At 40.3% G+C, this 15,686-nt stretch overlaps 1 long non-coding RNA gene across 4 annotated transcripts in view; it reads left to right on the forward strand.

Moving 5' to 3' along the window:
- The window catches only part of LINC02377 (long intergenic non-protein coding RNA 2377), a 338,568-nt gene that overhangs the window by 309,171 nt on the left and 13,711 nt on the right, over positions 1-15,686 (forward strand). For all 4 annotated transcript variants that reach the window (NR_183920.1, NR_183918.1, NR_183919.1 and 1 more), the window contains one exon: positions 4,407-4,527. This is a non-coding gene — a long non-coding RNA (long intergenic non-protein coding RNA 2377). The remainder of the gene's footprint in view (positions 1-4,406; positions 4,528-15,686) is intronic.

Below are 15,686 nucleotides of genomic sequence, written 5' to 3' on the forward strand. Positions count from 1 at the left end.
ATGGTAAGTATGTAAGGAATTACTTGATCAAAAATCACTTTGGGAGGCTGAGGTGGGTGGATCACGAGGTCAGAAGTTTGAGACCAGCCTGGTCAACATAGTGAAACCCCATGTCTACTAAAAATACAAAAATTTGCTGGGCATGGTGGTGCATGCCTATAGTCCCAGCTACTTGGGAGGCTGAGGCAGGAGAATAACTTCAACCCAGGAAGTAGAGGTTGTGGTGAGCCAAGATCACGCCAATGCACTCCAGCCTGGGCAACAGAGCAAGACTCTGTCTCAAAAAAAAAAAAAAAAAGTATGAGAATTAATTAGGGCTCAAGTATCTGGATATTTTTCAAGAAGGTTGTTTGATCCAGAAGAAACTCAATGGTGGATAAGTGAGAAGGCAGTAGTAGAAATGTCAGGCAAAAATGGGAAGTTTTCTTGGAAATCCACTTCCTAAAACCTGTGCTATTGTTTTAAAGGCCTGAAATATCAGAGTATGTTTAAAGCAAACAATTACTGACCCTTGTCCCTCCACTTCCGGGAAAATGTGTGGATTGCTTTCCTGAAAATGAATAAACCAGGTTAAATAGTAGAAATGGGAAAAGTTGTGATTTTGAAGGATAGTCCACAGTCTGGCTGTCACAGCAGGAAGCTACTAATTTAATTTATATTGTTCTTAAAGTAATCTACAGAGATACCTAGTAAAGATAAAGAAAATGATTCTATATAGGAAGTCATCATTCCAGGATTTGAGGAATCCTTCCAAGTAATTTTGGCAGAAGCAGTAAGCATCATACTTTCAAAGCTAATAAAGAATGCAAGGAAACAGGACACATTTTGCAATAAGTAGCAGGAAAAATAACAGAAAAAAGTCACAAAAATTGCAGATCCGGTATTATTACAGACACATTGAAAAACATGTATTTGTATTATGTTCTAAGAAGTAAATTTGAAAATATCTGCCAAATGAAAACAATACAATGTAATCTTTCAGTTTTAACATGAAACTAATAACAAATTTTAAAGATAAATGATATTATCACTAAAATTAAACATTAGGAGCATGAGTATGATAATATTTTGGACACAGCAAAAGAACTAGATCACTGGAAGCTAAATCAGAAAAGCAAATGAGCACAGTTCAATACAGTGAGATGAAAAAATGGAAATGTAGAAGAGTGGTTATCACAAATAATGAGTTGTGTGAGGTGATATATTTAAATAGAGAGCTAGAATAAAATAAATGGAGCAGATAAATATGTGAATACTTAATGGCTTAAACTTTCCAAAATGATGAAAGATACATGTGTCCATTCAAGAAACACAGTAAATTTCGAGGAAAAAATAACCACTGAATTAACACTTAACAATAAATCTGATGTGAGAGAAAGAGAGAAAACGAGAGCCAGAAAGACAGAGACAGACAGAGAAAAAGAAATCCTTAAAACAACCATAGGGAAAAAAAAAAGACACTTTAAAATGTGGCAGCCAGACTACTTATTAAGAGCAACATAGTAACCTAAATACGTTTTATAATTTACTTCCTTTCATCACACTAAAGGTATCTTGATTTACAATCTTGATTTTTAAACCCAACATATAAATCCTTAATTTATGAACACCTGATACTCACCAAGGAAACCCTAAAAGACAGAAGAGCCAAAATGGCCATCAAGACAGAGCCGGGAAGATCCTCCACTGAAAGAGCTGACTATCAAGAAAACCAGCACACTCTGAGCAGATCTTCAAAAGGAAAGCATTGAGAGTGGAAGGAGAGAGGATGGAGACACTGGGCTAAAGGATCAGAAAGCTGGGAACCCAGCATGGGGTTGTGGAGCACCAGGACTCATTCCTGGCCCTGAGAGGTGAGGGAAGGGGTGAGTTAAATATGATGGAGTGGCTTACTCTTTCCAAAGAGCTCCAGAATCCTAGCTTTAGGAGACTTCACAATCCCCATGGACATTCGAGCTAGCAAGGAGAGTTGCTTGGAGAAGTAGCAAAGACAGGATTCCAGTATGTGTAGAGCCCAGATAGTTTGACATAAGAATGGTTCCAGTGAAGCACAGCCAGGGACACCCATTTCCTAAGGCTTACCGCATGCCTCTGAGTGACTTTGGTCATTATTGATTGTCAGACCTGCACAGAGAAGGGCTGTCTTGCCCGTGGGACATGCCAGTGTGATTAGATGCTCTCCTGTTGACTGGCCTCTCCTGGGGTCCCCGCCAGTCCATACCCTGTTGGAGGGCAGCTTTGGATGCCCAACGAGGGTGCTTCTCAGTGGCCATCACCATAGCAGCAAACACTACTCTGCTCTCATTGCAGAGCTTCTGCAAATATACCTCCAATAGTGCACACCTACTTACAGTCCCCCCTCACTGCATTGCCGGCATGCACTGTGCACAGTCTTTACTCACTGTTTTGTCAGTGTGCACATATGCAGAGGCCTCACTGCAACTGCATGGGCCCCACTGGTGTGTGTGTGTAAACCCTGACAACCTGCCACTGCCAGGGTGAGTATGAGTATAACATGCCACACTGCACCCCTGCTGCAGCTGGTGCACATGTGCGTAAACATGGACCCCTCAGCAAATGCTCCAATTAAGCACTTTTGTTGGCATCCCCCATTGGACTATTGTTGCCAGTGGACTGAGAATGCTGTGGCCCTGTCAGTGCAGCAGGTACTTCATCTTGAGGGGGCATATAACAAAGCTGTGGGCCAGGTCCCAATCCCCCCAGTGTTAGAGCACACATCCCAGGAGAGCTGAGCTGAGCCTTGGCCACCTGAAATCATCCAGAAATGAAGCCAGTCAATTAAATGCAACTTATAGCATAGTAAACCCTCAACGGCATCAAAGTATACAAGTAAAAAGCCCCATCCAAACAAACAAACAAACAAACTTCAACGATTAAAGGAACATTAGCTCACAGAGATGAGAAAGAACCAGAACCAGCATAACTACACTGGCAATTCAATAACCCAGAGTGTCTTCTTAACTTTAGATGACCACAGTAACTCCCCAGCAACAGCTGTTAACCAGACTGAAAAGACTGAAATAATAGAGAATTCACAAGCTTGATGGCAATGAAAATTACTGAGATTCAGGAGACAGTTAAAAGCCCATCCAAAGAATCTAAGGAATCAATTAGAAAGAAACAAGAGCTAAGAGACAAAATAGTCATTTTTTTTTAAAAGACCCAAACTCTTGCCAGGCACAGTGGTTCACACCTGTAATCCCAGCAATTTGGGAGGCTGAGCAGCCAGGTTACCTGAGTTCAGGAGTTCGAGACCAGGCTGGCCAACATGGTGAAACCCCATCTCCACTAAAAATACAAAACTTAGCCAGGCATGGTGGCACACACCTGTAGTTCCAGCTACTCCGGTGACTGAGGAAGGAGACTGGCTTGAATTCAGAGGTTTCAGTGAGCCGAGATCACACCACTGCATTCCAGCCTTGGTGCCTTGTGACAGAGCAAGACTCCATCTCACACACACACACAAAAAAAAAAAAAGAAGGAAAGAAAGACAATGACCCAAACTCGTCTAAGAGCTGAGAAACTCACTATGAGCCTTTCATTGTTTAACTGGAAGTATTAACAGCAGAAGGGACTAAGCTGAGGAAAAAATCTTAGAGCTGGGAGATGGGTTCATTGAATCAACTCAGTTAGACAAATATAAAGGGGTGGGTCACTGTATTAGTCTGTTCTCATGCTGCTATAAAGAACTGACTGAGACTGGGTAATTTAGAATCAAAATAGTTTTAATTGACTCACAGTTCTGCATGGCTGGGGAGGCTCCAGGAAACATACACTTATGGTGGAAGGGGCAGCAAACATGTCCTTCTTGATATGGCTGCAGGAGAGAGAAGTGCAAAGCAAAGTGGGGGAAAGCCCCTATAAAACCTTCAGCTGTCATAAGAACTCACTCATTATCATGAGAACAGTATGATCCCCATGTCTAATCACCTCCCACGATGTCCTTCCCCCAGCATGTGGGGATTACAATTTGCATTACAATTCAAGATGAGATTTTGGGTAGGGACACAAAGCCAAACTATATTATTCTTCCCATGGCCCCTCGCAAATCTCACGTCCTCACATTTCAAAGCACAATTATGCCCTTCCAAGAATCCCCCACAGTCTTAACTCATTTCAGCATTAACCTGAAAGTTCAAGTTCAAAATCTCATCTGAGAAAAGGCAAGTCCCTTCCACCTATGAGCCTGTAATATCAAAAGCAAGTTAGTTATTTCCTAGATACAATGGGAGTGCAGGTACTGGGTAAATACACCCATTGGAGATGGGAGAAATTGACCAAAACAAAGGAGCTATAGGCCCCATGCATGTCTGAAATCCAATAGAGCAGTCATTAAACCTTAAAGTTTCAAAATGATGTCCTTTGACTCCATGTCTCACATCCAGGTCACACTGATGCAAGAGATGGGATACCATGGCTTTGGGAAGCTCCACTCCTATGGCTTGGCAGCGTACAGCCTCCCTTCTGGCTGCTTTCACAGGTTGGTGTTGAGTGCAGCTTTTCCAGGTGAGTGATGTGAGCTGTTGGTGGATCTATCATTCTGGGATCTGGAGAATGACGGCCCTCTCCTCACAGCTCCACTAGTCAGTGCCCCAGTGGAGACCCTGCATGGGTGCTCTGACCCCACATCTTCCTTCTGCACTGCCCTAGCAGAGGTCTCCATGAGGGCCCTTCCCCTGCAGCATACTTCTGCCTAGACATTCAGGTGTTTCCATACCTCCTTTGAAATTCAGGCTGAGGTTCCTAAAGCTCAACTCTTGTCTTCTGCACACCCACAGGCCCAATATCACATAGACTCTACCAAAGCTTGGGGTTTGCAGTACTATTAAAATGCTCATTCTGCCCAACCCAAGTTACAGATTCAATGCTATTCCTATCATACTACCAACAACGTTTTTCACTGAACTAGAAAAAAAATTCTAGAATTAATTTGGAACCAAAAAAGTGCCTGAATAGCCAAAGTAATTCTAAGCAAAAAGAACAAAGCTGGGGACATCACACTCCCTGGCTTCAAACCATACTACAAGGCTACAGTAACTGAAACAGACACATAGTGTAATGGAACAGTTTTGAGAGCACAGAAATAAAGCCATGCATGAACAATCATCTGATTTTTAACAAAGCTGACAAAGACAAACAATGGGGAAAGGACATCTTATTCAACAAATAGTGCCAGGATAACCTGCTGACCATACACAGAAGATTTAAACTGGACCCCTACCTTTCACCATACACAAAAATCAACCCAGGATGGGTTAAAGACATAAATGTAAAACCTCAAACTCTAAAATCTCTAGAAGAAAACCTTGGAAATACCATTCTGGAAATATTATGCAAGAAATAAAACCTACTTGATTGTGGTGGATTAGCTTTTTGATGTACCGCTAGATTTGGTTTGCTAGTATTTTGTTGAATATTTCTGTATCTATGTTCATTAGAAATATTGGTCTGAAGTTTTTTGTTTCATTGCATCTCTGCCAGGATTTGGTATCAGAATGATGTTGTCCTCATAGAATGAGTTAGGTATGAGTCCCTCCTCCTCAATTATTTTAGATAGTTTCAGTAGGTGTGGTATCAGCTCTTCTTTATACATCTGGTAGAATTTGGCAGTGAATCCTTTGGGGCCAACACTTTTTCTGATTGATAGGCATTGTATTGCCAATTCATTTTGGAACTTCCTATTAGTCTGTTCAAAGTTTCACTTTCTTCCTGGTTCAATCTTTGAAGATTGCTTCCAGGAATTTATGCAGCTTCTCTGGGTTTTTCAGTTTGTGTACATAGAGGTGTTCATAATCATCCCTGAGGATTGTTGTATTTCTGTGGGGTCAGTGGTAATGTCCCCTTTGTCTCTTTTGTGATTGTGTTTATTTGAATATTGTCTCTTTTTTTTCTTTATAAGTTTAGATAATGGCCTATCAACATTATTTTTTCTTTCAAATACCCAACATTCAGTTTTGTTGATTTTTTAACATTTTTTTCTCATCTCCATTTTGTTAATTTCAGTTATGATTGTGGCCATTTCTTTTCTTCTACTACCTTCGAGGTTGGTTCTTTTTTGTTTTTTAGGTTCCTCTATCTGTGATGTTAGGTTGCAAATTTGAGATCTTTCTAGCTGTTGACATAAGTGTTTAGCACAAGAAACTTTCCTTTTAACCATGCTTTAGCTGTGTTCTAGAGTTTCTGGTGTGTTGTATTTTTGTTTTCATCAGAGTCTAAGAATTTCTTGATTTCTGCCTTGATTTTATTGTTTACCCAAAAGTCATTCAGGTTCAGGTTGTTTAATTTTCACTTAATCCTACAGTTTTGGCGGATCTTCTTAGTATTGATTTGTATTTTTATTGTGCTGTAGTCTGATAGTGTGGCTGGTAAAATTTTTTTTTTATTTGTTGAGAATTGACTTATAGCTGAGCATGTGGTTGATTTTAGAATATGTGTCATGTGCAGATGATAAGAATATATATTCTGTTGTTGATGTGTGGAGTGTTCTGTAGATGTCTGTTAGGTGTATTTGGCCAAGTGTCAAGTTTAGGTCCCGAATATCTTTGTTAGTTTTCTGCCTCAGTGATCTGTCTTACACTGTCAGTGAGGTGTTGAGGTCTGCCACTGTCATCGTGTAGTTATGTAAGTTTCTTTGTATATCTCTAAGAGCTTGTTTTGTGAATCTGAGTGCTCCAGTGTTAGGTGCATATATATTTAGGATAGTTAAGTCTTCTTGTTTAATTGAATCCTTCATCATTATGTAATGTCCTTTATTGTCTGTTTTGATCATTGTTAGTTTAATGTCAGTTTTATCTAAAATAAGAACAGCAACACCTGTTCTTCTTTGTTTTTCATTTGTTTGGTACTTCTTTCTCCATCCCTTTACTTTGAACCTATGGGTGTTCTCACATGTGAGATGGGTCTCTTGAAGACAGCATACAGTTGGGTCTTGATTCTTTATCCACTTTGCCACTCCGTGCCTTTTAAGTGGGTGTTTAGCTTGTTTATCTTCAATACTGACATATGCACATTCGATTCTCCCAGCATGTTGTTAGCTGGTTGTTATGTAAACTTGATTGTGTAATTACTTTATAGTGTTGATGGTCTATATACTTGAGTGTGTTTTTCTGGTGCTAGGTAACAGTCCTTCATTTTCACGTTTAGCACTTTCTTAAGGATCTCTTGTGGTCTCTAAAGGCCTGGTGGTAATAAATTCCCCTAGCTTTTGCTTATCTGAAATGGATTTTATTTCTCCCTTGTTTATGAAGCTTAGTTTGGTGGGACATAAAATTCTTGGTACAAAATTTTATTTTTTCAAAAATGCTGAATATGGATTCTTAATGTCTTTTGACTGTGGGGTATTGCTGAGAGTTCCCCTGTGAGTTTGATGTAGTTTCCACTTTATGTGACCTGCCCCTTGTCGTTAACTGCCTTTAATATTTTTTTCTTTTGCATTCACCTTCAAGAATCTGATTACTTTGTGTCTCTGCAATGGTTGTCTTACATAGCATCTTACATGGGTTATCTGAATTTTCTAAATGTATATGTCAATCTCTCTAGTGAAATTGGGGAAATTTTTTATAGAATCCCTTATTTCTCCAAGGCTTTTTCTTTTCTTTCCTTTTTCTTTTTTTTTTTTTTTTTTTTTTTTTTTTTGAGATGGAGTCTTGCTCTGTAGCCCAAGCTGGAGTGCAGTGGCATGATCTCAGCTCAATGCAAGCTCCACCTCCCAGGTTCCTACCAATCTCCTGCCTCAGCTTCTGAGTAGCTGGGGCTACAGGCACCTGCCACCATGCCCAGTGATTTTTTTTTTTTTTTTTGGTATTTTTAGTAGAGACAGGGTTTCACCATGTTAGCCAGGATGGTCTCAATATCCTCCCAAAGTGCTGGGATTACAGGCGTGAGCCACTATGCCTGACCTTTCATTTTTTAAAATTCTTCTTTTCTTTATTTATTTTCTGGCTGTGTTAACTTAAATAATCAGTCTTCAGTCTCTGAGATTCTTTTCTTGGCTTAGTCCATTCTGCTGTGAATATTTCCAATCATTTTATGAAATTCTTGTACTGTGTTTTGTAACTCTATCTGCTAGGCTTGGTTTTTGTTTGTTTGTTTGTTTTGTTTTGTTTTTTCAAATGGCTAATTTTTTTCTCTTTAATCATTTTACTGGATTCCTCAGATTCTTGGAAATAGTGTTCAACTTTCTACTGAATTTCAATGATCTTCATTTCCTTCTACCTCTCAGTTCTATATCTGTCATTTCAGCCATTTCCTTCTATTTAACAACCATTGCTGTAGAACCAGTGCAGTCATTTGGAGGTAAAGTGACACTCTGACTTTTTGAGTTGCTAGAGTTCTTATGTTGGCTTTTTTCTAATCTGTGTGGGCTGGTGTTTCTTTAACTGTGGTATAATTTGAGCATAGTCAGTTGACTTTGTTTCTGGATGTTTTCAAAGCACCTTTTCGCATGATCTTTATTAGTAGCTGAATTATTGTCCTGGGTTTCACAGAGGCTTATATTAGCAAAGTAATTTTAGTGTTGAAGTTTCTGCTGCAATCTGGCTGATGACACTTAGGTATAATGGCTGATAGGTAGGCTCTTGTTCAGCCTACCTACCTATAATGGCTGATAGGTAGGCTCTTGTTCATACACAAATGTGTATTTTCTCACATTTGCAGTCACGCTCAATGTCAGTATTCTGTGTGTGTAGGCTTCCCTCCTACTGAAATGCTGGCTGCATAGCTTGGCTTGTCACTGCAGTGCTGCACATCACAGCCCTGGGTTGAGCTCAAGGTTTTTGTTTCCTCGTAAGCTTGGGGACAAAAGAGGTGAGGACCTTGACAGTGGTAATGGCTGGAGGTCTATCACTTGTCTTTTGCAGCTCCACTATACAGAATTGCAGAGATGCTGCCAAATGGAGTGGTCAACCTTTGATGGGGCCTGTGCATTTTGGAACCAAGCTGGGGGACACTACTGGTGATGAGCAGAGGGTGTCAGGGCTTGTGAGAAGACAGATTCACCTCTTCTCTGTAGGGTAGCTGCAGTGTGCTGGAGGTGTGAGTAAAGCACTTGGGGTCTTGTTCCCTCCCCAGCTGGAGGGCAGCCAGGGCAGTACTGCTGAATAGTGGTTGCAGAGAAACTTTCAGCTGCTTCTGGGATCTCCACCCCAGAGAAATGCAGAACCACTGCCACTGGGCATTTTCAGCCTGGAGTGGGGCTGCTGCACTATGAGCCTTTGCTGGGGCCCCTGCCTGGTGAAGAGCACGGGATCAAGTGCTCACAGAGAATAGAGATTGGGCTCCATGCCATATGGTGATCATATGGTAATCATAGTGTGCTGGAAGCATGAGTAAAGCATTCAGGCTCTTTTATTTCTTTCCCAGTCTAAGACAGCAAGGGCAGGTACCACTGCATGGGCAGTGGCAGTTGGCTGTCATTTGCCTCTGGGAGCTCCATCACAGGATAACACAGAGCCACTGGCAATAGAAATGTTCAGCTTGGGTGAGGTAGCTACTCTGCAGGCCCAAGCAAGGAGTTCTGCTTAGTGAAGGATAGGAGTTGGGAGCTCACAAGGAAGAGAGACTGGGTTCTATGCTATATGGCAGCTGTGTCATGATGAAGGTGCTAGTGAAGCAACCAGGATTTTGTTCTTTCCCCAGCCCAAGGGCAGTTTCTTAGTCCTTTTTTACACTGCTGACAAAGACATACCTGACACTGGACAATTTAAAAAAGAAAGAGGTTTAATCAATTTGTAGTTCTACATGGCTGGGGAGGCCTCAAACTCATGGCAGAAGTCAAGAAGAGGAGCAAGTCACATCTTACATGGATGACTGCAGCCAAAGAGAGACCTCGTTTGGGGAAACTCCCATTTTTAAAGCCATCGAATTTCATGAGACCCATTCACTATCATGAGAACAGCATGGGGAAGACTCACTCTCATGATTCAATCATTTCCCACTGGGTCCCTCCCACAACATGTAGAAATTATGGGAACTACAAGATGATACTTGGGTGGGGACACAGAGTCAAACCATATTATTATACCCCTGGCCCCTCCCAAATCTCATATCTTCACATTTCAAAACCAATCATGCCTTCCCAACAGTCCCACAAAGCCTTAACTAATTTCAGCATTAACTCAAAAGTCCACAGTCCAAAGTCTCATCTGAGACAAGTCAAGTCCCTTCCACTTATGAGCCTGTAAAATCAAAAGTAAGTTAGTTACTTCCTAGATACAATGGGGGTACAGGCATTGGGTAAATACAGCCATTCCAAATGGGAGAAATTGGCCAAACAACAGGGCTACACGCCCCATGCAAGTGTGAAATCCAGAGGGACAGTCAAATTTTAAAGATCCAAAATGATCTCCCAGTAACTCTATGTCTCACATCCAGGTCATGCTAATGCAAGAGGTGGGTTCCCAAGGTCTTGAGTAGCTCCCCACCCGTGGCTGTGTAGGGTACAGCCTCCCTCATGGCTACTTTCACAGGGTGACATTCAGTGTCTTAGTCTTCTCTAGGTGCACGGTGCAAGCTGTCAGTGGATTTACCATTCTGGGGTCTGGAGGACGGTGGCCCTCTTCTCACAGCCTCATTAGGCAGTGCCCCAGTAGGGACTCTGTGTGGGGACTCCAACCCCACATTTCCCTTCCACACTGCCCTAAACAGTGGTTCTTTATGAGGGCCTCACCCTTGCAGTGAACTTATTCCTGGACATCCAGGCATTTCCATACATCTGAAATCTAGGCAGAGATTCCCAAACCCCCATTTTTGACTTCTGTGCACTCACAGGCTCAACATCAAGTGGAAGCTGCCAAGGCTTGGGGCTTGTACCCTCTGAAGCCACAGCCTAAAGTCTACATTGGCCCCTTTCAGCCATGGCTGGAGCAGCTGGGACGCAGGGTGCCAAGTCCCTAGGCTGCTCACAGCATGATGACCTTGGGCCTGGCCCACAAAACCACTTTTTTTCTCCTAGGTCACCAGGCCTGTGATGGAAGGGGCTGCCATGAAGACCTCTGGCATGCCTTAGAGACATTTTCCCTATTGTCTTGGGGATTAACATTCATCTCCTCATTACTTATGCAAATTTCTGCAGCTGACTTAAATTTCTCCTCAGAAAATGGGATTTTCTTTTCTATCACATTTTCAAGCCGCAAACTTTTTGAACTTTTATGCTCTACTTCCTTTATAAAACTGAGTGACTTTAACAGCACCCACATCACATCTTGAATGCTTTGCTGCTTAGAAATTTCTTCCATGAGATACCCTATATCATCTTTCTCAAGTTCAAAGTCCCACAAATCTCTAGGCCTGGAGCAAAATGCCACCAGTCTCTTTGCTAAAACATAACAAAAGTCACCTTTGTTCTAGTCCCCAAGATCCTCATCTCCATTGGAGACCACCTCATCCTGGATTTCATTGTCTGTATCATTATCATCATTTTAGGCAAAGCCATTCAACAAGTCTCTAGGTGGTTCTAAACTTTGCCACATTTTCCTGTCTTCTTCTGAGTGCTCCAAGCTGTTTCAACCTCTGCCTGTTACCCAGTTCTAAAGTTGCTTCCACATTTTCAGGCACTTTTCAGTAGAGCCCACTCTACTCGTACCAATTTACTATATTATTCCATATTCATGCTGCTGATAAAGACAGACCTGAGACTGGGCAATTTACAAAAGAAGGAGGTTTAATCAACTTACAGTTCCACGTGGCTGGGGAGGCCTCAAAATCATGGTGAAAGGTAAGTAGGAGCAAGTCACATCTTACATGGATGGCAGCAGGCTAAGAGAGAGCTTGTGTCAGGAAACTCCTGTTTTTAAAATCATTAGATCTGGTGAGACCCATCCACTATTACGAGAACAGCATGGGAAATACCCATCCCCATTATTCAGTCATTTCCCACCAGGTACCTCCCACAAAACATGGGAATTGTGGGATCTACAGGATGAGATTTGAATGGGGACATAGAGCCAAACCATATCAGGCAGCAAGGGTGGTACCACTGTATGTAATGGCAGAGGGGCTGTGGGTTGTCGCTGGGAATTCTATCCCAGAGAAATGCACAGATGCCACTGTCTGAAATGTTCAAGTGGGAGCAGGGTAGCTGTGCTGGGGCCCAGGTCGGGAGACCCTGCCCAGTGAGAAGTAGCAGGAGCAAAGACAGGCATGGAAAAAAGTCTGACACCTCCATAAGGCAGCTGTGCTGAGCTGAAGACCTGCTATAATCCTTAAGCCTCTTTGCTCTCTCTTGATCTGAGGGCAGTATGGGCAGGGGTATAGCAGGCAAAAACGGCAGGCCTGTCTTATACCTATGAGAGCTCTGTCCCAGGGAAATGCAATGCTGCTTCTGGCCCAAGTTGTCAGGCTGAGGTAGGTGGCTGTGCTGGAGGCTCAGGCCAGGAGGCCCTGACCAGTGAGGAGTAGAAGGGGCCATGACCAACATTAAAAACTATATGACTGCTTTTCCAGAAGGCAGCTTGCCCTGTGCTGGAGGCCCACAATAGTCATAACGATCTTCACTCCCTCCTGACCCTGAAGGCAGTTGGGTAGTGGCTGGAGCTGCAATAGCAGCAAAAACAGCAGATATGTCTATTGCCTCTGGGAGCTTCATCCCAGAGAAATGCAGAGCTGCTGCCAGTCAAAGAGGTCAAGTGGGTGTTTCATGGCTGTTCTGGAGTTCCAGGTCAGTGTGCTTTGCCCAGAGAGGTTTACCAGAGGCAAGGCATGAGTCCCTCTGCTCCTCAGAACCATGAATGTAGCCACTAACCTTTGGCGTGCAGAGAACTTGGCCTTCCTTGTTGGTGAAGCTATGGCAACTAGCACTGGGGTGCTTAGGGGTCTAAGACCTCCGGGACTTCTCATGTGCCTGATCTGGAGCTCTGCCCAGATTCTATGCAGCTCTCCTTGTTAGTCTGAAGGCCCCAGGGGGAGGGACTCAGGGTGGATCACCTGTGCCTATGATTACAAAGGTCCATGACAGAAGTATGGGGCCATGGGGCTCTCTCTCAGTCACTATTTCTTTGTGGTAAGGATCCTCCCCTGACTCCACCCAATCCTGGGTGGGTGGCTGTTGTGTCTTGCTGTTTTTGTTCTCCATGGCTTCTGTTGCTTCCTTGCTGAATCCCAACATGTCCTCTTGGAAGATCCAGTTGAAGTGCTAGTGTTTACTGGCCAGTCTATTTCCTTTTCACGAGAGTGGAGCATACTAGCTGCTTCTAGTAAGTCATCTTGGCACTTGATCACAAAAGACATTTGTTTTTCACAGTTCTGCAGGCTGGCAAGTCCAAGTTAAAGGTGCCAGCAGATTCAATTCTTGGTAAGGGTTCTTCCTGGCTTGCAGACAGCTGCCTTCTCATTGTATTTTCACTAGGAAGAAAACAGAAGGTCTAGTGTCTCTTAATTGGATAAATTTTTAAAACCAAAATTATTGAAGGTGATTCTAATACACCTTTCTCAGTAACTGATATAAATATACTGGATGCATTATTAAGATTATTAGTGTATTTAAAAATATACAATTTCTGGCTGGGCACAGTGACTCATGCCTATAATCCTAGCACTTTGGGAGGCCAAGGCGGGCGGATCATGAGGTCAGGAGATCAAGACCATCCTGGCTAACACACTGAAATCCCGTCTCTACTAAAAATACAAAAAAAAAAAAAAAAATTAGCTGGGTGTGGTGGCGGGCGCCTATAGTCCCAGCAACTAGGGAGGCTGAGGCAGGAGAATGGTGTGAACCCAGGAGGTGGAGTTTGCAGTGAGCTGAAATCGTGCCACTGCACTCCAGCCTGGGCGACAGAGTGAGATTCTCTCTCAAAAAAAAAAAAAAAAAAAAAAAAAAAAAAAATATATATATATATATATATATACAATTTCTGCCCTTATTTATCTATATAATTTTGTATAATTATTTTATGATTGCTTATTATTCATTTTAGTAGCCACTTTAAGTGAAAATAAATAATGTTTGTATAAAAATAAACATTAATTTAATAAACTAACAGAATAGCATATAAATTTCCACTAACATCCTATCAAAATTTATATAATTATAGTATTTTATTAGTTATTTTAGTGCTATACAATCAAGTTAAGAAAAATGGCCAAAAGTCTAAAAAAATTTAAAAAAAATAAAATAGGAACAGAAAAAGGAAGAAAATTTATTTTTTAAGTTAAAAAATAGTTTTTTTAAATGTAGAAAAATACATGTTTTTTAGAGAAAACATACCTTTAATCACAAGAAAAAAGTGCCTTTAAAAATAAAAATATTATATAACATAATAATATAAAAGTTTCTTTTTGAATTTTGAAGTTGTTATAGTTTTAAAATTGTTATGTATTTGGCATTTCCTTTATTTTGCTTTATGTTAACATTCAAATTTCATCTTTGAATTTTAATTATCCTTAAAAATTTCTAGCTGCCTGTTAGTTGAATTCTAGACAAAATTTATCTTTACAACTTTTTTTTTATTATACTTTAAGTTCTAGGGCACATGTGCACAACGTGCAGGTTTGTTACATAGGTATACATGTGTCATGTTGGTTTGCTGCACCCATTAACTCGTCATTTACATTAGGTATTTCTTTTAATGCTATCCCTCCCCCATCTTTTTATCTGCTATACAAATATATTTTTATGCAATATCAGTGTCATTAATATAGTTAATGATATAGTTAACATAGTTAATTACAAAACATAGTAATTTTATTGTTAAATATTATAATTTTAAATTATTATTGATGGTTTTTACAATATGTATCATATTAGTAATACACCTTAACACACCAAAAGTATGTCAGCCCATAATGATGTTATTTTACTGGTTTATTTTAGTTTCATGTTTGAAATTTTTATATTCCACTAATAGAAAAAAAACAACAAGACAGAGAAATACAAATATAGCAAATATTGTCCAAGCAATAATCCCCGACTGAACAATGCCAAGATATACATTGTCTGATTTCTTCTTTCATTTAGATATTTGCATGAATTTTAAAGCTTTTGTATATTTTTTATTTTATTAAAAATAATTTTCTGTCCTGCTTAACATGTTACTTATTTAAAAACATAAAATATTTAATCTACTTCATATCATCCAAATATACGAATTAGCTCATTTTCTCTTCTCTATATATGATCTTGTGTCTTTATTCAGACAAAATAGTTCTGTCATTTAAATGCTTCCTTATCTTTAGCATAGTGTGATTTTTCTTTTTAAAATTATTATAGTTCAATAATATATCAAGCTAATGGGAGAAAAGCAAAGGTAAATTAAACTATGTTTCAGTAAAATGTAAAAAAAAAATCTGATTTTAAGTAATTACTAACTATGTACAGTCACGAACTCATGAACCAACAGTATAGAAGAAATAATTGGTGCGATTTGGGCAAACTAGAAAAAGCCAAGAAAAATGAAAAGATCTTTTTATATGATCATTCTTAATTAGAGCCACTGACAGTGAATGTAAAATGTTTAATGAATGTGATCTATAAAGCTTTGCTAGATTCTGACTGACTCAGAGGTTATATATTACTTCTCACACTTCTTTATTAAAATTATTTTGTTTTTAACTTAAGCATCATTTTTATAACTAAGGTGACAGTTATACATGAACAAGTATAATAGTTTGTCTAAAATATTTTGTACCAAAACAGGAAGACTGAAGTGTGAATAATCTCAGTAAAAAAGTAT

The sequence above is a fragment of the Homo sapiens genome, chromosome 4 (genome assembly GCF_000001405.40).
Source record: "Homo sapiens chromosome 4, GRCh38.p14 Primary Assembly".
Taxonomy (NCBI): domain Eukaryota; kingdom Metazoa; phylum Chordata; class Mammalia; order Primates; family Hominidae; genus Homo; species Homo sapiens.